Source organism: Homo sapiens, chromosome 9, assembly GCF_000001405.40.
Source record: "Homo sapiens chromosome 9, GRCh38.p14 Primary Assembly".
Classification (NCBI taxonomy): domain Eukaryota; kingdom Metazoa; phylum Chordata; class Mammalia; order Primates; family Hominidae; genus Homo; species Homo sapiens.
This window is the reverse complement of record NC_000009.12, coordinates 89,005,397-89,028,232: the sequence shown is the minus strand read 5'-3', so window position 1 is coordinate 89,028,232 and position 22,836 is coordinate 89,005,397. Positions and strand designations below refer to the sequence as shown.

General features: G+C 46.3%; 2 protein-coding genes across 2 annotated transcripts in view; one reads left to right on the top strand and one right to left on the bottom strand.

Moving 5' to 3' along the window:
* Positions 1-22,462, top strand: part of SHC3 (SHC adaptor protein 3) — a 173,048-nt gene extending 150,586 nt beyond the window's left edge. The window contains exon 12 of the mRNA NM_016848.6: positions 14,658-22,462. Coding sequence (NP_058544.3) covers positions 14,658-14,786 — 129 coding nt within the window. The 3' untranslated portion in view covers positions 14,787-22,462. The remainder of the gene's footprint in view (positions 1-14,657) is intronic.
* On the bottom strand, positions 20,056-20,715 carry LOC124902206 (uncharacterized). Its single transcript, XM_047424308.1, has one exon. The coding sequence runs from the start codon at positions 20,713-20,715 to the stop codon at positions 20,056-20,058; it is 660 nt and encodes a 219-aa protein (XP_047280264.1).
* Positions 22,463-22,836: the final 374 nt, after the last annotated feature.

Here is a 22,836-nt window from a genome sequence, read left to right as displayed (position 1 = left end):
ACTGAGATTATGTGTGAATTGTGTGTGTGGAGGTGATGTGGGCAGAGGATAGAGGGAATGACATGTGTGGGCGTGGTTTTGTCATCTGAAGTTTAGACTTTAGGTTGAGAAGGGGAGGGGGCTTGGACTTTTAGCCTGGGTGCCTCCCAAGAGTTCTTCACTTAGGGTCACCATCCTCCTCCTACTGCCTTAATTCTCCCCAGGCAGCATGTTTAATTTCTTTGGATTAATGTTCCCTAGACTTCTTCCCCAAAGGCAAAATGCTAGTTTGTCTGTAAGGAGTTGGGAGCAGCGGGAGCTGCAGGCTCAGTTACTGAGGAGTGGTCTTTCTGCAGCCTGGCTGCCCTCCTTCCCACTGTTGCAAGGGTCCCTCTCCTCCACTGCAAGACTCCCCTGCCATGCATTCTAGGCTGCCCTCCTCCTCACTCTCTTTTATCCTTCAATATACTTCCATCTTTTCTGTTAGTCTGTAATGTGTTGAGATCACTGCCTCCTTCCCTTTTGTTTTTAGAAGTTGTTAATTCCTGCACTGTCCTTTTTCTGGGTTCGGAGAAGGTGGGATAGGGCAATTCCTGTACTCATCCTAACTGCTATGAAAAATCAGCATTTTGGCCGGGCACAGTGGCTTATGGCTTATGCCTGTAATCCCAGCACTTTGGGAGGCCTAGGCGGGCGGATCACGAGGTCAGGGGATTGTGACCATCCTGGCTAACATGGTGAAACCCCGTTTCTACTAAAAATACAAAAAATTAGCCGGGTGAGGTGGCAGGTGCCTGTAGTCCCAGCTACTCGGGAGGCTGAGGCAGAATGGCGTGAACCCGGGGGGCACAGCCTGCAGTGAGCCGAGATCGTGCCACTGCACTCCAGCCTGGGCGACAGCGAGACTCAGTCTCAAAAAAAAAAAATCAGAATTTCACCCATCACTAGTTGTCTACTGTCAAAAACTTCAAAATCAAGCAAAATTAAAGAAATGAAAACACACAGGTAAATTTTAGCATCATGCTCACTTAATAACTGGTAAGGAAGTTTCCTCTCTTTTCTGTGTAAATACACAAATGACCAGGACAATGCGTCTAGCCCCAGGGGAACTCAGAGCTGTGTCCACAGCTTCTCTGCTCTTCTCTGACCAGGCTCTGAAGAAATCCTGACTGGGAACAATTTCCTACACATTTCCTGTTTGGTCACCACGGTCAGTTCTCTACCATTTTTTCATTTCTATTGTCAAGAACAGACTTTGCTGACTCTTGGGCAACCTTGGAGATGACAAGGGGCTTCTCAGTAGCTCGGAACTAGAAAAGGAAGTGAGATCCAGAAGCAATAGGGCCAGGGAAGACCAGGAGTCTCCTCCTTTCCCTGGACAAGGCTAGTCCAGAAAACCACAGGAGCATGAAAGAGAGGACTTGTCCAAGGGCCCAGGTGTGCAGGGATTCAAGGTCAGGCTCACTCCTCAGGTGGAAAGTGAGTGCTCGCCCAGGCAAAGGGGTTGCTTGTGGGCATGTAAGCCCTGGGCGGACAGGGTTCCAAGCTGGGCTCTTGGCATTTGTAAACCAAAAAATATCTGAGGCAAATCTCAATCATTTCAGAGGTTTATTTAGCCAAAGTTAAGGACATGCCAGTGACACAGCCCCAGGAGATCCTGAGAACATGTGCCCAGGGTGGTCAAGCTACAGCTTGATTTTATACATAAGATATTAATCCGTACATGTAAGATGTACATTGGTTTGGTCTAGAAAGGCGGGACAATGTGAAGTAGGGGGCTTCTAGGTTGTAGGTGGATTCAAAGATTTTCTGATTGGCAATTGGTTGAAAGAGTTTATCTAAAGACCTGGAATCATTAGAAGGGAATGTCTGGGTTAAGATAAGGGGTTGTGGAGACCAAGGTTTTACCATGCAGATGAAACCTCCAGGTAGCAGGCTTCAGAGAGAAAAGACTGTAGATGTTTCTTTTTCTTTTCTTGTTTTTTTTTTTTTTTTTTTTGAGATGTAGTTTCACTCTTGTCACCCAGGCTAGAGTACAGTGGCGCAATCTCAGCTCACTGCAACCTCCACCTCCTGGGTTCAAGCCATTCTTCTGCCTCAGCCTCCTGAGCAGCTGGATTACAGGCATGCACCACCACGCCCAGCTAATTTGGGGTGTGTGTGTGTATTTTTAGTAGAGATGAGGTTTCACCATGTTGGCCAGGCTGGTCTCGAACTCCTGACCTCAGGTGGTCCGCCTGCCTTGGCCTCCCAAAGTGCTGGGATTACAGGCGTGAGCCACTGTGCCCAGCCAATGTTTCTCATCAGACTTAAAAAGGTACCAGACTCTTACTTAATTCTCTCCTGGATAAAGGAAAAGACCTGGAAAGGGAAAGGGATTCTCTACAGAATACAGATTTTCCCCACAAGAGACAGCTTTGCAGGGCCATTTCAAAATATGCCAAAGACATATTGCCAAGGACACATATTTTAGGGTAAAATACTTTAATCTCTTTCAGGGCCTGCTATCTGTCATGTGATGCTATGCTAGAGTCAGGCTGGAATTGGGTGTCTTATTGCTACAGAAGTCTTAAGGTCTCTGTTTAAATGTTACTGCTGGTCAGTTGTGCCTGAATTCCAAAGGGAGGAAGATATAATGAGGCATGTCTGACCCCCACTTCCCATCATGGCCTGACCTAGTTTTTCAGGTTAACTTTGGAATGGCCTTGGCTGAGAGGATGTGTTCATTCTGATGGTTGGGAGGCTTCAAATTTTATTTTTAGTTTACACATTGCAGGCCTGGGGGCTGATGTGGGCCCAGCTCTGTGGCTCAGCCTTCAGGTTTGGGATGGACCTGGATCACGTCTTAATTTCAAATGTAGGAGAGGCTTGGGCAGCATGTCTGTGTCTGGGACAGGTCTACATCACACCTGGGTTAGGCTGGATCCAGGCATGAGCCTACAAGCCTGGAGGTGGGGTGGGGTCTCTCAGTGGATCCAGCAGAAGTGAGAAAGTGGGCAAAGGTCAGCCCCTGTGTGTGTGTGTATGTGTGTGTGCGTACGTGTGTGTGTGTGTGTGTGACCTGTTCCAGGATAACTCATGTTTTAATCACAAGATGTCCCCATCTGACGGCTTTGCCTCTTCTAGGAATGTGACCCTTTATAAGGGGCAGATGTAATCATTTTGTCATTGATGGAGTGTCGTCATTAATGGAAAAATTTTAACCAGTATTTCTAACTGCCCACAGGGCAACTCCACTTACACGTTTCCCAGGCAATTGAAGCCCATGGCGTCTGCAGTGGAAGGTGTTGTCCCCACCTCCTCAGCCCCAGCTGCCCCTCCTGGGTTCCCCGCCACACCACACCTCTCTTCTCATACTCTGCATTCAGATGCTGAACAAACTCCCCTAAATATCCCTGTAAGCTGCCTCTTCCTCCTGACCCACCTGGACTCCCAGTGACAGCCCCAGCCCACCCTGCAGGAGGCTCTGCTGATGTCCATTCCCTGCTCAGAATCCTTCTGGGATGCCATCACCTCCAGTGTAAGGTTAAACTGTGCAGTGTGGGTAAGAAAATAGGAATAGCAAATGTTCCCCAGCATGTCCTTGATGCCACGCACTGTACTAACTACTTCACTTGTATTAATCCTTTCATTCTGAAAACGGTCCTGTGAAGCAGGACTCGCGATAGCCATCTTACAGAGAGGTCAGTAACTTCCTATAAGGAGTGTCATTAGCAGGTGGCAGGCCAAGTTGTGGCAGGTGCTCAAAACTGTCTTCTCCTCACTTGTCACTGCACTGGACTGAGCAGGACAGGCAGTATTTAATAACGCACACAGGGAGTGGTGGAGTGCACCTGTAGTCCCAGCTACTCAGGAGGCTGAGGCAGGAGGATGGCTTGAGCCCAGGGGTTTGAGGCTGTAGTGAACTATGATCGTACCATTGCACTCCAGCCTGGGTGACAGAATGAAACCCTGTTTCTAAATAAATAAATAAAAATAAACAAATCCATAAATAAATAAGATGCACAGGATGCTGCTTGTGCACCCAGGAGAGAAAGGGCTTCAAGGGTAATGGCTTGGGATGACCATGCCCTTTACACATCAGGGGAGCATCCTGAGAGGGGCTGTTTGTTTCTGATTGGACCATGAGAGGGGGCTGAGTGAACTGGGAAGGCATTGTTGCATTACAGGTAACTTACGAATCACACCCACAGCTGGAGCTGCTGTTCTAGGCCAGCCATTAATCTAGCAGCTTCAGCATCAGAGAGCTTGCTTAGAAACGAGATCCTCAGCTCCCACCCCAGATCTGCTGAGTCAGGAACTCGGAATGGGGCCTGGATGTGTGGGATGGAGATGAGGCAGTAGTCTGAACTTTCACAAGCCCTTCAGGGGCTAGAGTTGGGAACCACAGGTCTAGGCAACAGACCCTTTTAAAAATGAGGAAGGATATGTTAGGTAACTTGTCAGGCAAACAGAGCACATTAGCAGTAGAAACAGGATTTGAACTGATGACTTGTGATATCTTGACCAGTGGTTTTTCTCTATGTGGTCATACCTTCTGATTCTGTTCTGCTGTCTATGGCCAGTTAAACACAGAAGTGGATCATCTAGATGCTTGGATGAATAAAATTTGAAAAATTAATTTCTACTGAATTTCTGGAAAGTATGTAAGAATAGATGGTAAAAGAAGTAGCCAGGAAGAAGTTCCACCTCCCCCAAGCCAAGCAGTTTTCTGGAGGTTGTGGCAGAGAAGAGAAACAGTAAGATTGGTTATGGCCTCAATGGCAGATTTGGGAAATCAGAATATGCTGCATATTTCTTAACGATTTTAATTTCCCACACTTCTGAGTTGCTTCTCAGGCTCCCAAGCATCCTTGGGCCTAAATAAACCCAGCCTTTCTGAATGCATGGAGCTTGATTCCTTCCCACTGAGCTGCTGGCAGCTTTGATCTGTGGGATCTGATTTTCTTCTACTCTGAGACTTTCTCAGATGATTAAAAATATTGTAAGCAACTCAAAGAGACCTTGTTGATAAGGCTTATCAAGCTGGCCTCAGAGTTTATTCTGGGCTGCTGACTCCTGAAGGGCAATCAGCTCTCATGCTAAGATCAGGGTGGGCCTGAGGCCCCAGGCTGACCTCTCTCCCTGAGTGTTCGCTTCTCATAGAGGAAGCCTGCGCCTGCCCTCCCTTCCAAAGAAGGCAAGGCCAGGGGTGGCTGACTCACTCAAACCCATCACATGCCTGGAAAAACCTTCCAAGCTGTTTATGGTTGTTGTGAGACCTCAGTTCTTGTCTTCTTGATTTAGAAGAATTTGAGCAAAAGACAACACAGCAAGGGAGGTGCAAAATAGTGCAATTTATTACAAAGGAGAAAGAATATTTTGAAAGTTAGGTGCAGAATAGACAGTACACCGTAAGAGAATTCAGGGCAGGCTTCGGGGTAAGGATGAGACAAATCCATAAATAAATAAGATGCACTTAAAATAAGTGCACTAGGCACTTATTTTAAAGACGGGCACTAGGGGAGACTCCCTTTATGGGAGGCTTTCATGATTTTTCATAAGGAGGTGTTGCTATAAGCATGTTCGGATGGTCCTCTGGGTGCACATGCGCAGTAGCTGTACATGCTTGTTCATAAGTCACATCTCATTAGCATCTTAAATCTCCACCCAGGGTTGTGTTTTTTTGCTATTATGATGAGCAAAGGGTCATTCTGAGGACAACTAAAATTAAAGTGCGCATGCTCTCTAGAGGGGGAAATTCCTTACTGAAGATAGCTGTGCTTGAATTAGCTGGACTACAGTGTGAATGCTGAGGCTTATTGTGTTGACTGTACGTCCCACGGTTGCCACGTCCCAAAAACTTCCTTGACTACCTATCCCGCCGCAAAGCCACAGGTGACGGTGGCCAGACTGGTGGAGCAGGCTTTGAAGAAGGAAGTGGGAGGTCTGAGCTTTCCCCACTGTAGGAATTTCCCCCCTCCCCCAACCCTCCCTTCCTGCACTGAAGTGTCCTTGAATCTCCTTCTAGGCTCCTGGAGCCCCGACAGGACCGCCAAAGTGTTTAAATAGTGCCCGAGGCTCTTCAGGTTCCTGCCCTGGGTCTTGGCTAAGATCATGGTCCAGCCCTGTTGGGATGTGGGGTGGGGCGGAGTTCCCTGCTCAGCAAAATGAACTGAGGCCTCAGTTCTGTTTGCTGGAGGACCAGCTGACTTCTCTCATTGACATTGTGCCTTTGTTCGCTACAAAGGAAATATGGAAATTACGCAGCCCATTCAGTCACCTCTGGCTCGGGCAAGTCGTGTGACTTACAAGTTCTGAGTGGGAAAGACCACCCCGTAGTCTTGCTCTGGAAGCCCCCAGGGGCAGGCAGAGTCCTGAGAATGCTCCAGGGCCGACCTCCTCCCATTTTATTCCCAAGTCATATATCCTGGGTATCCAGGTAGGGCTGTGTGTGACAGAGTTTTTCCATGGCTAAAAAAGAAACGTCTTAGAGGGCAACAACAGGCAATGCGGAAGTAGCCCTCCATCTCTCAAGGTTCCGATTCCTAGCACTGTGTTCTACTGGCCCCGAGGGGTGCTGGAAACCCTCAGTTTCCACCTGGTGCAGGACAGAGGAGCCTCACCTGGGATGGCCCAAGGCAGGTGAGCCCTGGCATCCAGGCAGGGTTCAGGGAGAGCCACTGCTCACTTTCCTGCGGTACTTCCTTCTCTCTCTCTGCTTTGCTTCTGGTTTGTGGGTTTTTACACAGGTTTCAGGTTAGTTTTGTGGGTCAGCTGTGCTTTCCCAGAGGTGACCTGGGCCTAGGCCTTCCACTCTGTGAGCCGATCTGGTGCTGTCTTTGGTCACTGAGGTCATGGCTGTGGGGACATTGAGTGCGGTGGTGTTGGCCTCCCTACTCTGGCAGCTGAGTGAAGACTTCTTTGTGGTTTCTGGAGCAGTGACTCATCAAATGCTGTCCTGGAGGTTTCATGGAGATGGCACAGTTCCCAAGGTAGCCTGGGCTTTTCCCTGAGGCAGAAGGAGACTACCCCTCTATCCAGCTGCAGAGCTCCTGAAAAATCATTTTTAAGGTAGAATTGGCAGTGATGATAGTCAATACTAACACGAGTGTACTTTCCATACAGTTGGAACAAAAGTTTCAAACCTGATTCTGCTAGAATATTAGTGTTCCAGAAGGCTGGTGCAACTGGCGGGCATCTCCTGTGTGGGCGCTGAAGCTCAGTGCGAAATGTCCCTGTGAGGTCAAACTGGGGCTGCAGCTCAGCAGATCCCTACAGCTCCCCTGGGCACCTCCCCAAGCCCTGAGTGTCCTCATGAGGCCCATGTGTGCCACCATAGGGCAGGAGGCTCTCCCCTGCATCCTTCCACCACTGGGCACTTTGGAGGATCACCAAGGTACCGCACCCAGTGGCAGAGCTCCACCCAGACACACAACCCTGCAAACAGACATTTGTGCCCAGCTTAGTCACTGCTGATGGAGGAGACATGGAGAGTTGGTGAGGGGGACTCACCTGTGTCCCCTCCCCTATGCCTGTACATTCCACTCACAACACCCACATACTGAGGTTGGCCTGCCCATTTTGCTCTCCTCCTGGGCCTGCATCTCCTACTGCACATGAGGGCGGTTTTGTGCCAGCCCCTGCAAGAGCTTCGGTAAGGATGATTTATCTGTCTCATTCTGTTGCTGGTGATAGTTTAGTGTCCCCCTAGATCCTGGCACCAGAAACTGTCCCTGTTTTGTCCTGCTTTGACATGGACGTACGTCACAGCCAGAGGAGGAGCCCTCACCTTCCCACCAACCACCTGGGGACCTGAAGGAGGCCCAGAGGGAAGGATGAATATGACAAGTCAGACCTGCTGTTGTCCACAGACCACAGAGGCCCCCACACCCACAATGTGGCACAAAGGAGCCTGCCCCACAACTGGCACCCCACCTCCCTGCCCTGCTGCCTCTCACCCTCCACCTTCACCTCTCACCCCCACCCTTCCTATCTTCCACCTTCCAACCCCCTGTCACCTCTCCCTCTTTCACCCCTTAACCTGACCCCCACTCTCCTTACTTTTGGGCACTGGGGGTGATGCCTGCTGACCACAGGCCACACAGAGCTGAGTGTGCATTTCTGCCCTAGCCTAGGGAAGAAGCATATTTTAATTAAGCTGCTGTGAAACCTTGGGGATCTCTACCTAAAAACAATACACATTTTTAACAGTAAAGGTCTACAAAAATCAAATCAAAGAAGTAATTCCTTACTATGAACCATTCCAGAGGCTCCAAAGTGCCCTTGTTTTAGGAGTAGATGTTGCTTTCGTTTCTTTGTAAAACCTCACTTCCTCCAGCTTCTCTCCCTGAAAACCGAGTCCCACCCAGTGCTCTCAAGCTGAATATTCATTTATTATTTTTGTTTTTAAATAGACTGTATTTGATATTATTTAATAAATATTGCAAAGAACTGACACCTTGACAATATTGAGTATTCCTATCCATAAATATGAAATATCTCTTCATTTATTTAGTTCTTCTTTGATTTCTTTTATTGGACTTTTGTAGTTTTCCTCATGTAGATCTCATAGGTATTTTGTTAGATTTATACCTATTTCATTTTCAGGGGTGCCAATGTAAATGGTATGGCATTTTAAATTTTAAATTCCACGTGTTCATTCCTGATATATAGGAAAGTGATTAACTTTTGTATATTTACCTTATGTCCTGCAACCTTACTATAATCACAATTAGTTCAAGGAGATTTTTTTTATTCTTTCAGGTTTTCTTCTAGACAATCATGCCATCTGTGAACAAAGGCAGTTTCATTTTTTACTTCCCAATCAGTATGCCTTTTTTTTCTTTTCTATCTTACTGTCTTACTTTTGGACACTGTAGGTGAGGCCTTCTGACCACAGGCCACACAGAGTCAAGTGTGCACTTCTTCCCCAGCTTAGAGAAGAGGCATATATTAATTAAGCTGCTGTGAAACCTTAGAGACTTCTACCTAAAAATGGCAACACATTTTTAGCAATAATGGTTTACAAAAATGAAATCAAAAAAGAAATTCTATAGGTTTTCTTTGGAATATTAGGACTTCCAGTACGATATTGAAATGGAGTGGTGAGAGGGAATATCCTTGTCTTGTTCTTGATCTTTGAGTTCCTCAGTATCAGATATAATGTTAGCTGTAGGGTTTTTTTGTAGATATTCTTTTTTTTTTTTTTTCTCTGAGACAGAGTCTTGCTCTGTCGCTCAGGCTGGAGTGCAGTGGCATGATCTCAGTTCACCGCAGCCTCCATCTCCCAGGTTCAAGCGACTTTCCTGCCTCAGCCTTCCGAGTAGCTGGGATTACAGGTACCCACCATGACGTCCGGCTAATTTTTGAATTTTTGTTGGTAGAGATGGGGTTACACTGTGTTGGCCAGGCTGATCTTAAACTCCTGACCTCAAATGATCCGCCTGCCTTGGCCTCCCAAAGTGCTGGGATTACAGGTATGAGCCACCATGCCCAGCCCATAGATATTCTTTATCAAGTTGAGGAATTTCCTCTCCTACTTTATCAAGAGGGTTTTCTTTAAAAAAAAAAAAGAAAGAAAGAAAGAAAGAAAAAAAAACTACTTTATCAAGAGTTTTTTTTAAATAACATTTTTAAATTACAGTTTAAGTTCTGGGATATCTGTGCAGAACATGCAGGTTTGTTGCATAGGCATACACGTGCCATGGTGGTTTGCTGTGCTCATCAACCCATCATCTACATTAGGTATTTCTCCTAATGCTATCCCTAGCCCCCCACCCCCTGACAGGCCCTGGTGTGTGATGTTCCCCTCCCTGTGTCCATGTGTTCTCATTGTTCAATTCCCACTTATGAGTGAGGGCATGTGGTGTTTGGTTTTCTGTTCCTGTGTTAGTTTGCTGAGAATGATGGTTTCCAGCTTCATCCATGTCCCTGCAAAGGACATGAACTCATCCTTTTTTTTATGGCTGCATAGTATTCCATGGTGTATATGCCACATTTTCTTTACCCAGTCTATCATTGATGAGCATTTGGGTTGGTTCCAAGTCTTTGCTAATGTGAACAGTGCTGCAATAAACGCACGTGTGCATGGGTCTTTTTAGTAGAATGATTTAAAATCCTTTGGGTATATACCCAGTAATGGAATTGCTGGGTCAAATGGTATTTCTGGTTCTAGATCTTTGAGGAATCACCACACTGTCTTCCACAATGTTTGAACTAATTTACACTCCCACCAACAGTGTAAAAGTGTTCCTATTTTTCCACATCCTCTCCAGCATCTGTTGTTTCCTGACTTTTTAATGATCACCACTCTAACTGGCGTGAGATAGTATCTCGTGGTTTTGATTTGCATTTCTGTAATCACCACTGATGATGAGCTTCTTTTCATACGTTTGTTGGCTAAATAAATGTCTTCTTTTGAAAAGTGTCTGTTCATATCCTTTGGCCACTTTTTGATGGGGTTGTTTTTTTCATGTAACTTTGTTTAAGTTCTTTGTAGATTCTGGATATTAGCCCTTTGTCAGATGGGTAGATTGCAAAAATTTTCTCCCATTCTGTAGGTTGCCTGTTCACTCTGATGATAGTTTCTTTTGCTGTGCAGAAGCTCTTTTGTTTAATTAGATCCCATTTGTCAATTTTGGCTTTTGTTGCCATTGCTTTTTGTATTTTAGTCATGAAGTCTTTGCCCATGCCTTTGTCCTGAATGTATTGCCTAGGTTTTCTTCTAGGGTTTTTATGGTTTTAGGTCTTACATTTAAGTCTTTAATTCATCTTGAGTTAATTTTTATATAAGATGTAAGAAAGGGGTCCAGTTTCTGTTTTCTGCATAGGGCTAACCAGTTTTCCCAACACCATTTATTAAATAGTGAATCCTTTCCCCATTGCATGTTTCTGTCAGGTTTGTCAAAGATCAGATGGTTGTAGATGTGTGGTGTTATTTCTGAGGCCTCTGTTCTGTTCCATTGGTTTATATATCTGTTTCAGTACTAGTACCGTGCTGTTTTGGTTACTGTAGCCTTGTAGTATAATTTGAAGTCAGGTAGTATGATGCCTCCAGCTTTGTTCTTTCTGCTTACAATTGTCTTGGCTATGTGGGCTCTTTTTTGGTTCCATATGAAATTTAAAGTAGTTTTTTCTAATTCTATGAAGAAAGTCAATGGTAGCTTGATGGGGATAGCATTGAATCTATAAATTACTTTGGACAGGATGGCCATTTTCACGATATCGATTCTTCCTATCCATGAGCATGGAATGTGTTTCCATTGTTTGTGGGAAAAAAAGACCTTTTTTTAAAAGAAAAAATCTCTTGGTAAGATTTGTTGGATTTTGTCAAATGCTTTGTCTGCATCCATTGATATGATCATGTGATTTTTCTTCTTTAACATGATGGATAAAAGCAATTGATTTCTGAATATTGGACCAACTTCGCATACCTGAAATAAATTCCACTTGGTTGTGGTGTATAATTCTTTTTATACATTGTTGGGTTCAATTTGCCAATATTTGTTGAGCATTTTTGCATCTATGTTCATAAGAGATATTGCACTATAGTTTTCTTTTAATGTCTTTGTTTGGATTTGGTATTCAGGTAATGCTGGCTTCATAGAATGAGGAATTATGTTCTCTGATTCTATCTTCTGAGAAAGATTGTAGGGAATTGAAATAAATTATTCCTTAAATGCTTGATGGAATTCACTAGTGAACCCATCTAGGCCTTGTGTTTTCTGTTTCAGAAGGTTATTAATTATTGGTTCAATTTCTTTAATACATATATGCCTATTCTGATTGTTTATTTCTTCTTGTGTGAGTTTTGGCAAGTTGTGTCTTTCAAGGAATTTTTTAATTTAGATTATCAAATTTATGAGCATAGAGCCATCCATAATACAGATGTTCCTCAACCTAGGATGAGCTTACATCCCAATAAACCTATCATATGTTGGGAATATTGTAAACCAAATGCAAATAAGATCCTGATAAACTGGTCACAAAGTTGAATTCCGTTATTCCTGTATTTCTTTATTGTCTTCTTAATGTTCTTGGGATCTGTTGTGGGGTCCCCTCTTTTCTTTCTTATATTGATAATTTGGGTCTTATAATCTTTTTTTCTTAGCCTGGCTAGAGGTTTTTTGGGCCTTATCATCTTTTTTTCTTAGCCTGGCTAGAGGTTTATCAATTTTATTGATATTTTCAAAGAACAAGCTTTTGGTTTCATTTATTTTTTCTACTGATTTGCTGTTTTCAATTTATTGATTTCTGCCCTAATTTTTATCTATTATTTCTTTCCTCCTGCTTACTTTAGATTAATTTGTTCTTCTTTTTCTAGTTTCCTAAGGTGGAAGCTTAGATGATTAATTTTAGACTTTTCTTAATTTCTAGTATATGCACATTTTAGTCTCTTCTGTAGCCTGACTAGAATGAAGGCTTTCATCTTGATTTTTATTTCCTCTTTACGATGCACAGCCTCAACCAGTTGTCTGGGGTTAACATTCCATGTGTCTTCACTGTGGCAGAATCCTTGCAGGTGTGTCTGGAGTCTAAGTTTGTCCTGGCTGCCCAGTGGTTTTAATCAGCCATCAGAATTTCTAGTGCATAACGGGTGGGTCCACACAGAGAGTTCTGCTGGCTATAAGTTCTCTGGGCAGAAGCCAGACTTGAGTATTTACGGTAATGAAGTGAACTAGCCTCTCTATTTCCTTAGTCAGTAAATACATATATGTGTGTTTATGTTGGCCAGCCTGTATACTGAAATATGCTAACTGGTGGTTCTCAGCTTTGGCAGCATGTTGGAATCACTGGAGGAGCCTAAGACACTTGGTGTCCAGGCCCCACCCTGAGCTCCTTATGGAATTGGCCTGGGGCCTGGGCTGTGGCTACTAAAAGGTCCTCAGGAGTATTGGAGGTGAGACCACATTGAGACTATTGTCTCAGACACTTCCCTGCCCTAAATCACTCTTCACCCATTCCAGTTCACCCAGAACTTACGTGAGTGTCAGTCGTTAAGGAATGAGAATAAGGAGTCAATGTTAAGGCAACACCCCAATACTGGTCTCAAGTTGAGTTCCTGGGTGCCCCTGGCTTCCAAATAAGTATGCTTCTTGAGTTACTCAGGGGGTCTTTCTGGGGCAGGAATGCTGAGGAGCCCCAAGAGAATTAAACAACCTCAGTAGAAAGATGCTGGGAAGTCTTGCAAAAAGCTTCCTTTTGAACTTGCCCAACAGGTTACATCCTTAGTGAGGCTTAGTGCCCAACAATCAGGAGACCCTCTGGTCCTGAGAGCTCTTCTCCCTCTGGTGCTTACAGAGATGGGGGGAGAGGGTTCCTGCAGGGGGAAAACATTCTAATTTCAAAGTTTTTCTGTTCCTTCAGGTGCTAATTGGTAGAGCCATGAGCAGATGGTATGAACTTCTCAGAGCACCTTGGGTGGGGATTTCCAATATGCACACCTGAAGTATAGATTTGGGATGGGAGCAGGATGGGGGTTGAAAGTCCAGAGGCTGATGTTTCTTTGGTAGGTTGATGGAGAGGGAGGGGCAAGAGTGGCCACATTAGTGGAAGCAGGAGTCACAATGAGAATTTGGGGAAAAGAGAATATTGGGGAAAACAGGAGAATGAACATTGCCTCAGGAGTCCCTGCAGGAGGGCGAGGAGAGCTGGGTGTCCCATGAAAGGATGGGCTCCTGGAAACTCATCTGCACACACTGATGGAGAGGAGACCACTGCTAAGGCTGGAGAGCAAAGCCAGGGAATTCAGCTGACCCTCGAGCATAGCCGCGAGGGTGGCCTGTGAGGGTGAATGGACCTAGCCAGGTGGCTGCTTTCTGCCCCCATCTCCCACTTATCAAACATGCAACTCCCAGGAGATTGTGTCCAGACCTCCTCGAAAAATTGCTCCTGACAGGCCCCACTCCACCTTTTTCAAGTGTGAGTGATATCTGTGAATGTGCCGGCTCAGAGTGGAGGCGGCTGATGGACCCCAGGGACCACAGTGCAGGCCAGCAAGCAGGGCAGAGTGTTCAACCTCCTCTCCCCTGACATGGCATTAAAAGTTTATGGGCAGGCTGTAGAATTGAAAGCCCAGGAACACGGAGCCTGTACCTCTGACCCAGCCTGGCTCACTCTCCAGTGGGGGACTGCAGGGGCAACAGGAGCTCCTCTGGGGAACTGTGAGGCTTGCCCCTGGTGGGTGCCCAGGATGTCTGGAGAGGAAGGAAGGCTGCCTGGAGGTGCTGGCATTGAGGTAGGGCCAGGCTCAGGTGGAAGACACTAATTCTGGGCCGGGAGATGTCCATGCAAAGGCCTAGAGGTGGGAGGGTCATGGGAGCCTGCAGAGCCCAGTTCAGGGCTATCCTGAGAGGGCCAGGGAGGGAGCAGGAGAGACAGGTGAGGTGACCTTGGTTGGTGAAGGTGGAGGAGGCCATGCCTATAGGACAGTGGGCTGGGACATTCCAGAACTGAGTCCTAGGGGCCTGGGCTTATGGTTACTGAAAGGTCTTCAGGTAGTTTGGAGGTGAGCCCAACCAATGAAATGGATTGGCCATTGCTCTTTGCAGACAGCATCTCTAAAGTGGTGGAAGCCCCTTGTCCCCCCCTCCTTTCCTTCTGGGCCAGTTCAGATGGTCTGGCTGATTCTGAGCAAACCATTTTCTCTTTTTGCTGCCTGTGAGATGTGCTTAACCTTTCCTTTGCTTCATTCATAGATCCGGACAAAGGACAGAGTCTTTGACAGTATCAGCCACCTCATCAACCACCACCTAGAAAGCAGCCTGCCCATTGTCTCTGCAGGGAGTGAGCTGTGTCTCCAGCAGCCAGTGGAGAGGAAGCAGTGACCTGGCCAGCACTGCTCCCAGCACTGCGCACCAGGTCAGGAGGACCTGGAGTGGACTAGAATCGGGGCTGCTGGAACTGGGACAGCTGCCTGTGGCTCAGAGCCTTCTTCAAAAGCTTCAAAAGGAAGGCTTCCTTTAAGGTCAAGTTTCATAAACTTGGTTCTGAATTTCTCATATGCATATTAAAGGTGTACATACCTATACATCCTGTACAAATTATCCCTCTATATTTATATTTTTTAAGACTAAGAAAGATGTAAGACTAATGTTCTGTGCTGTATGTTTTTAATGAAAAAAAAAAATAAGTTTAACTGTAGTTGTCCAGGCAAAAATTTAATTCAACTGACCCATCCCACCGGGAAATGCCACTAGGAAGGTGTAGCCTGCAGTTTTACCTAATAAGCACAACTGGAGGGGAATAGAAACACAGAATTGTGAGGGAATCGCAAGGCATGCTGCTCAGAGCATGCCTAGCCCTGCACTGAAAGCTATGAGATACTGGTTCTGAGGCATGGCTGTGCTTGCTGGTGGGAGCGGGCATCCTCCCTTGGCCTCCCTGGGACACCTCCTGTGCTCCCTGCACTGCACTCCACGTGCCTGGGGTGTCTACACAACTCGCTGCAGCTTCACTAAAGAACAGGTGGCACTCCAGCTTCTCCGGGTCCTGCTGAGCACAGGGCCCCGCCACCCTTGACCCCAGTTGTGCGAGGAGTACTTGGGAATTCATTTCATGCCAAAATGGCACAAAATAAGCTTCACCAACCAAGATTTTGATTGACAAGTGCTTCCCTGTTCTCATGTATCTAATGCTAAAATGGGTATTTGTAGAAGGGTGGTCGGGGCAAATTCCTGGTTTGTGTCTCCCTCTAGTCAGCGGTTGACTACAGGCTGCTTATGGTAATTGCTAGTAAAGTCCCCCGCCCGCCTTATACAATAGGGGAGAAGCCTGTGTGACAGCAAGAGCAGGCACCCATCCCAGAGCTCAGTCCCGAAGACTCAGGTATTGAGGCTTCTGGGGCTGCATGTGCCAGAAACCCAGGAGTCACTGGAATCCATTTGAGGTACTGCCTCTGGCATGAGGGATGGGGGAAAGGCCTGCTGTCCCAACAACAAGGTTTCTCCGTTGCTGCAGGGAAGAGCATGTGCCTGCCCCCACTCTTTGTCTTGACTCCCTTTCTTCCAGGTAAAATACTGTCATTTCCTGAGGAGTCATTTGGTGTTAGAAAGCTGGCAATGTTTATACCTTTCAAATACTATCTGGGCTGAGATTGCCCTGTGATTTTCACAGATGCCCTTTAAAGAATAGATGGATCCATTTGCTTGCTGGCAGCGTGGCTCTTGTTCTGGTGAGACCCCACAGGGTACAGCACCCTGTAGGGTATGGGTCAGCAGAACAGAAAGACACACTAAACACGCTTAGAGTTGGATAGTGATAAATCTGATCCTGTAAGGAGAGTTATGAGGAGACTGAAAAATCTGGCAGATAATAATACTGCTAAGTTCTAATGCCAATGGTATGAGCCCCATTTCTGCCTTGGGGTGTGCGTGTGGCCAGATGGAAGGACAGGTTAGAGCTAACCAGTGAGGATGAGTCAGGGCAGGCCCCAGCCTTCATACATGGCCTTCTAGGGAGTCTTTGCCTTTGAGGGTCCAGTGAATTTGAGATGACAGTGAAGTCAGTGTTCTAGAATGTTCTGCAGTGGATTGAAACTCTGGAGAGTCTGACACTACTGTAGACTGCACTGCTGTTTTCTGAAATGGTTTTGGCTTCAGGCATCATGTGGATACTCTGCTTAGTGATCCAGAAGCAGACGGCTCCACGGGGTTGCTGGCAGCAGCTGCATCAGGCTCCTGCCCCAAGACAGCATAGACTTGGGTGCTCTGAGAGCTGCCCTGCACATCTGTCCTCTGGGAGGCTGGGAGCCCTGGAGAGACACACACAGCTCTGACCCACCTGTGCATGAATGTGCACCACATAGAAAAATGTGCGAAATGACCTTCTTTCTACATTCATGCATTCCCCACTTGTGAAAGGTCAAAATGCTATTATAACATTCAGGGACAATAGCAAAGTAGGAAATGCAAGTTAGGAGCTGTGAATGCTGTAACATTTGATTTACTTTATTTTTCTCTTGGGGGGACTTGAATGGTAACCTGCAGCTTTAGTAGCTCTTGCTGTGAAGTCAGTGTCTAGTTCGATGGTGATAGAAAATATATATATTTTTTGCATGAGAATCAATTTAGAAAATTTAAAGTATTGGAGTCGAATTTTTTCTTTTTAATATTAATTCAAAATATACATTTTTAAGCTCAGATTATATATTGGTTACACTAGAATAGTGCCAGTGAAGTGAGCAGGCTTCAGACATAGCAGATGGCAGCGATTTTCTAATCTTTGTTCCCTCCCATTTGTAAAGTGGGTTAGAGCACACATTAGTTATCCCAACTCTTCCCTCCAGCACTGTGTGGTGGGCCATTCCTGTGAGCCTCACAGACACATGGGGAAAGTGAGGCTGGGGCTGGTGCCACACCTTCCTGGAGGCCATGTTGTCATCTGGCTGCAGAGCTCTTCTGCTCACTCAGCATTTCGTGAGCCCTGCTGTGTGCCAGCCTGTGCTTTGAGCTCAGGATTCCAAGGCAAAAGCAATGGAGGCTCCTCCCTGTCTAGCCTGGGCCCCTCTTCCCCACACTTTCTCAGGCCACATCTCTGCCTGGGCAGGGCAGGGAAGCTGAACAATGAACGCAGCGGGAATGGCATTAGGCCTTGCGTTCCAGGGCCTCAGGCTTCCAGGGCACAGTCGCTGCTGCTGTGCTGGGCCACCCTGGTCCTGCAGAGTGCACCTGGGCCCTGCTGTCCCTCCAATGGGCACCCCCAACACTTAACCCCAAACTCTATGTCTTCTGGGAGTACAAGGTGGGGGCCAGCAGTCCTAAAACGGCCCCTCTGCCCTTACCGAGTGGCCCTAGAGACCCCCACCCACCTCCCCTAACCCCACGAATGAATCAGCTGTGCTTCAAATGACATCTCTGTCCCACGGAGGCCGGCTGGGCCTCTCATGGGGGTGCTCATTGTGGTTTAAGTCAGCTTTGATTCTTGACCTCCAAGGCTGCCTCTGAGTAGCTAACCGGAGAATCGGGTGGGGAGGTGAAAAACACCGCAGTCAAATGACTCAATCTTTAATCCTGTGCTTAAGACACCACTGTTGCTGTTTTTTATATTTGAAGCACCCAAAGACTGGGCGTCCGCTCAGCCTTGATGAGCGAGCAGCTATTTTGTCAGGCCATCTATGATGTTGGGATAATGGACAAAGGCCTGATTGGGCCATATATGGCCTTCTTTAGGGCCTCCTGGAGGTGGAGGAAGTTGTGGGTAATTTCTAATAAAGACGGGAAATGACAAGCCGTGTGTGTAGGTAAAGTCCTAACTTAAAAGGAAGGACAGGCCTAGGGAAGGGTGGACCCTAAAGGGCCCATGTGCCAGGGGAACAGTGGACATGTGTGTCCAGCCCAACCTCCATGTCTGGTGCTGGGATTCTGAAGGTGGCCCCCAGCTCCCAAAATAAAGCTTTCCTTTTCAGTAGCGTCCGACACTTGGGTAGCTTCTTTCTATAAGCAATGCTTGAAGATGGACGTCTGGGTCCTCATTTCCTCCAAACTGGCTGCTACCTGAAGGCAGTCACACATTTCTTTTCTGTTGGGCTGAGCTGGGCAGAAGCCTCGGACTATAGGCCTTTCCAGGGCAGAGGCAATGCGGGCCACGAGTAGATACCTCCATCCAGCCTCCACCCTGGCACACCCAGAACGGCGTGGACTCAGGCGGGTTGCTGGATTTCTCTGAGCCTTGGCGTGCTCTACACTGCAGGGCTATACATGTTCCCAGCTTGAGGGCGTGCTGGGGATTGACAAATATATGAAACATATAAGCGCAATGATTTTCTAAAATTGTGCATTCCCAGCGTGCCCATTGGTTCTCTCTCGCTGGCCCAACTTTGTGTGCTGTCCATAAATCCCTTTCTGTGGACGGTGACAGTAGGATTGGGAGTGAGTGGGAAGATTGTGGAAAGATTGCAAAGAGGTCATTGCAGGACTCAGACAGACCTTGCAGTGGGTTTCAGAGTAATACTCAGGTTCTCCCATGGAACTTTCAAAGCTGGCTCTAAGAAAGATGAAGAGGACAAACCCACTCCTGGACATAGTGCCAACCTAGAACTGTCAGCTCCACACAGGATCACAGGGAAGGGAGCTTGGTAAGACAGCCCAGTAGGGGGCCCTGCTTTTCAGAAGAGGAAACTGGAGCCATGCAAGGGCCTGGGGATCAACTTAGAAAAGAGCACAGGACTCACAGTCCTGGGCCTGCACGTAAAGCTAGCCCCCTGCCCCACGGAAATGGCAAGCAGTGCTTCCCTCCAGGGGTTCTACATCTGTGCTCCATCTCAAAATGCATAAAAGCCTGAGTCATTCAGATGGGAGAGACAGTGTTTCTACTTCCTCTTAGTTGGGGTTCCTCCAGAAGGAGACCCTGAGAGAGGACTTGAGGTTATGTAGTTTATTTGAGTGAAGATCCCGGAAGTAGGGAGAGAAGGAAGCTGACGGGGAAGGCGTGCATTATCAAGTAAGTTACCGTCATGTGCACAACTGGAGCTGAATCCCACCGGGGAACCCCGAGAGACAGAGCTGACACCCCAGAGTTCACCCAGCAAGGCGGGGAGACAGCTGGGGTATTTATTCACCAAGTCTATCACTTATGAAAGGCTGTTTCTGGAAACAATTTCTGACTGGCCCTGCACACACCTGAGCATACTTCCTAAGCCGGGGATGTCCCTGAGCTGAGACAGGCGTTCGTGACAAGCAGACTTCGAGTGGAAGGCAGGCATCAGAACCACCCTGTGAGCTGGTTCAGACAAAGATTGCAGGCCCTTCCACCCCCCTGGCCCCGCCAAGTTCCTGACTCCCTAGGTCTGGAGTGGGGCCCGGGAATTTGCATTTCAAAAAATCTCGAGGTGATGCTGGTGCAGCTGCTCTGAAGTCTTGACTTTGAGAACCACTCACTAGTGAGAGTTTCCAGCCCTTACCTGTCTCTTATTGATGGCTTTCCCCCCTCTAATTTATAATTATGCTTTCACACCACTTCATGTCACAGATCCCAGGGTCCGTGCTGTGAATTTAAAAGTGGAGAATTAATAAGCATTTATAACTCCATGCAACCATTGCTGGCAGCTTAAATGCCATCTGCCAGCCATAATTTATTTATAATGGGGTTTATACATATTTATAAGTTTGCAAGCAACAAATGCACAGTTTTAAAACTGGCACATTTTATAGCAGCCAGAAAAATTGCAACTTTATACCAGGACTTGTGAATGTGAATTGCATATGTATATACATATACGCATATACTTACATTGATTAAAAACGGATCTGCATCTCTGTACACACGCAGATTGGCTCTGTGTTGTGCACCTTGGGACTCCTCCCTGGGCTTTGGTTTTACAGCTAAGTAGGAAGTCAAACAAACGTGAAGAATTTGGGAATTGGCAGGCTGTGGCATCAGCCATGGAGGATGGTCCTGGATGCTGTAGGATGTGAGATCCAGCACAAAGAGAACAAGAACAGGACATGAGGACCACAGGGATTGGGGGAACCCACTGTGGGAAATGACAGAGAAGCCAGTGGGGGAAGACAAAGAAAGAAGAAGGTGGAGGCAGAATAAAGGTGAGAAGAAGGGAAGGGGAGGATAAAACAAGTCCAGATTTAGATCTTCCTTCATGCAGCCATGCATAGCTGTCTGAGGCCAGCAGGGAAGGAGGAGAAAGGGAAGGTGTGGTGGAGGAGGCTGTGCTCGTGATGTCATGCTTTCGTGTATTCCCAGGTGCAGCTGCATATACTTGGCACAGTTTCTTGGGATTTCTAGCCAGTTTCTTGGCCTCATTTGTGCATTAGTTAATATGTGGCTGGCCCTGTACTGGGATGGTGGGATAGAGAAGTGAATGTATGAGGCCTCTGCCTGAGTTTATAACCTAGAAAGAAATAAAGACACACACACACAAAGGTGTTGGAGTGTGACAAGCCTTAAGGTACCCGTGTGTCCAAGTAAAGTAGAACCAGCAAGGGTGGAGTGCCCAGGTCAGTCTGGGGACTCTGGAGGCTTCGCACTGCAGGCGTCAGATACTGAGTGTTAGTGGCACGGAGAAGAGTGTGGAAGGCTCAGGATGGGGGTGGACAGCCTGGAGTTGTCACTCTCAGTAGAGATGCTAGAAGGGGCGGGAGGTGATCCCAGCCTCCCTTCTTTCCTCCTCCTGGCTGTCACAGATGCTCTGAATTGATGAATCCTTCAGGCCAAAAACACACAGGCTCCTTCCCTAGGTCTGGAAAAATGGTTCTCGCTGAAAAAGCACCAGGAATAAAATCTCATACAATTTTAGGTGTCTATTTTGTTGTCTCACCTTGAAATACTGCAGACAGAAAAACATGCACATGGGGAGCTGTGGTCCTGAGCTTTGAGGTAATGAATTCCCACTCATGTGATCATTTTTACCATAACCAAAGTTTCTAACCATCAAAATCAAGTGACAATTAAAACAGGCATTAATGGATAAATCCGTCTTTAAATATTAATGGGGTTAATTTTGTTAACAGCTATGTGTTGGTTGCAAGTGGAATGTTCTCTGTTCATTTGACTTTTGAATATAACTTGTTCCAGAATATTGTAAAATTAAGTATGTGAATGTTTCTTTGTATTCAGAATTAAACATTTGGTGTTAAAATCCCAGGATTAGGAGACAACTCCATGTAAATTTAATGTGTAATAATAAGATAATAACTTTTTAAAAAGCATTTGGATGGCAAATTATACATACTGACAAATGAATATTATCTGAAAGTTGTTTTGTTTCCATTAACTTTTGTGAAACAAAAAGAATTACTGTAACAGTCTATGTCTTGGCGTATTGCCAATTCACCACTTTCTACTTTGTGCTGGAACAGAACTGGCTTTTTTGACATCCCTGAGGAGTGGAAATGCAAAACGAATTTCAAGTTCTCTAATCTTTGTTCTATGACAAATGAAAAAACCTAAGTTATCTGGTGTTTTGGAGATTTGAGAATACAGCAGGTGAAGAGAATTAGCTTAAATTCCCTCCTCCCTTTTGATAAATCCACAGGGATTCCTTCACTCTGTCAGGAAATGGTGTGGTTTCCAAGCATTAGCCCTTCATGATCTGTCTGGTGCATTTCTGTGCTCCTGGGATCGCCAAGTGCAGGCACGGCATCGCATCCCCAGGTGTCATCCTGTGACCCAGGAGGGGAAGATGACACACCCAATTTAGGTAATGCTGCACTTCTTGTTATAATTGGTTATTGGAAAATGTGCCTTTATTATCAGAACAGTGGTGTGCGCATTTCTGATTATGGAGCTAACTTTTGGATATCTGACTTAGATACTAAAAACATTTGGGTGTTGCAGTTTTGCACTTGTAGATACAACTTAAAAGCATGAAACTGGTGATTTAATTAGATGTTTTCTATAAAATGCACCTTGTTACATTTCTGTGAAAGGGTCTTACCAGCGTGGAATAACTGGCTCAAGGGTTGAGAGAAACAACCATTTTCTAAACAGTTAATTGTTTAAAGGACTATACATGTAAGTCTGCAGGCAATAAAGGCTGTTGTGAAAAGTATCTTTCATTTGGATGATGGATTTTGTATTGCCTCACAAAAGAGAGGAGGGGAGCTTGAAACTTTTCTCTAAGAAGTAGGTATTTTCAGTGATTCCCTGGGGGACTGCTTAAAAAACAGTCACAACAAAGCCTCGTCCCATTCATCAAGGCTGCGGAATGAAAATGCATCCGGGCAGATGTACTCCTAGAGAACTCACCTTACCTTCTAGCTCTGGGGCGGGCAGCTGCGTCCTCACTTGCGTTGGGACATTTCATCATGAGTTGTAACAAGCATCGCTACCAGAACAGTTATGCCGAGCACTGGCCTCCTCTTTACATAGCAAGTGGGACAGAGAGGCTAAAATGGACCGTTTGTGTGGGAGAAAGCTAGTGTG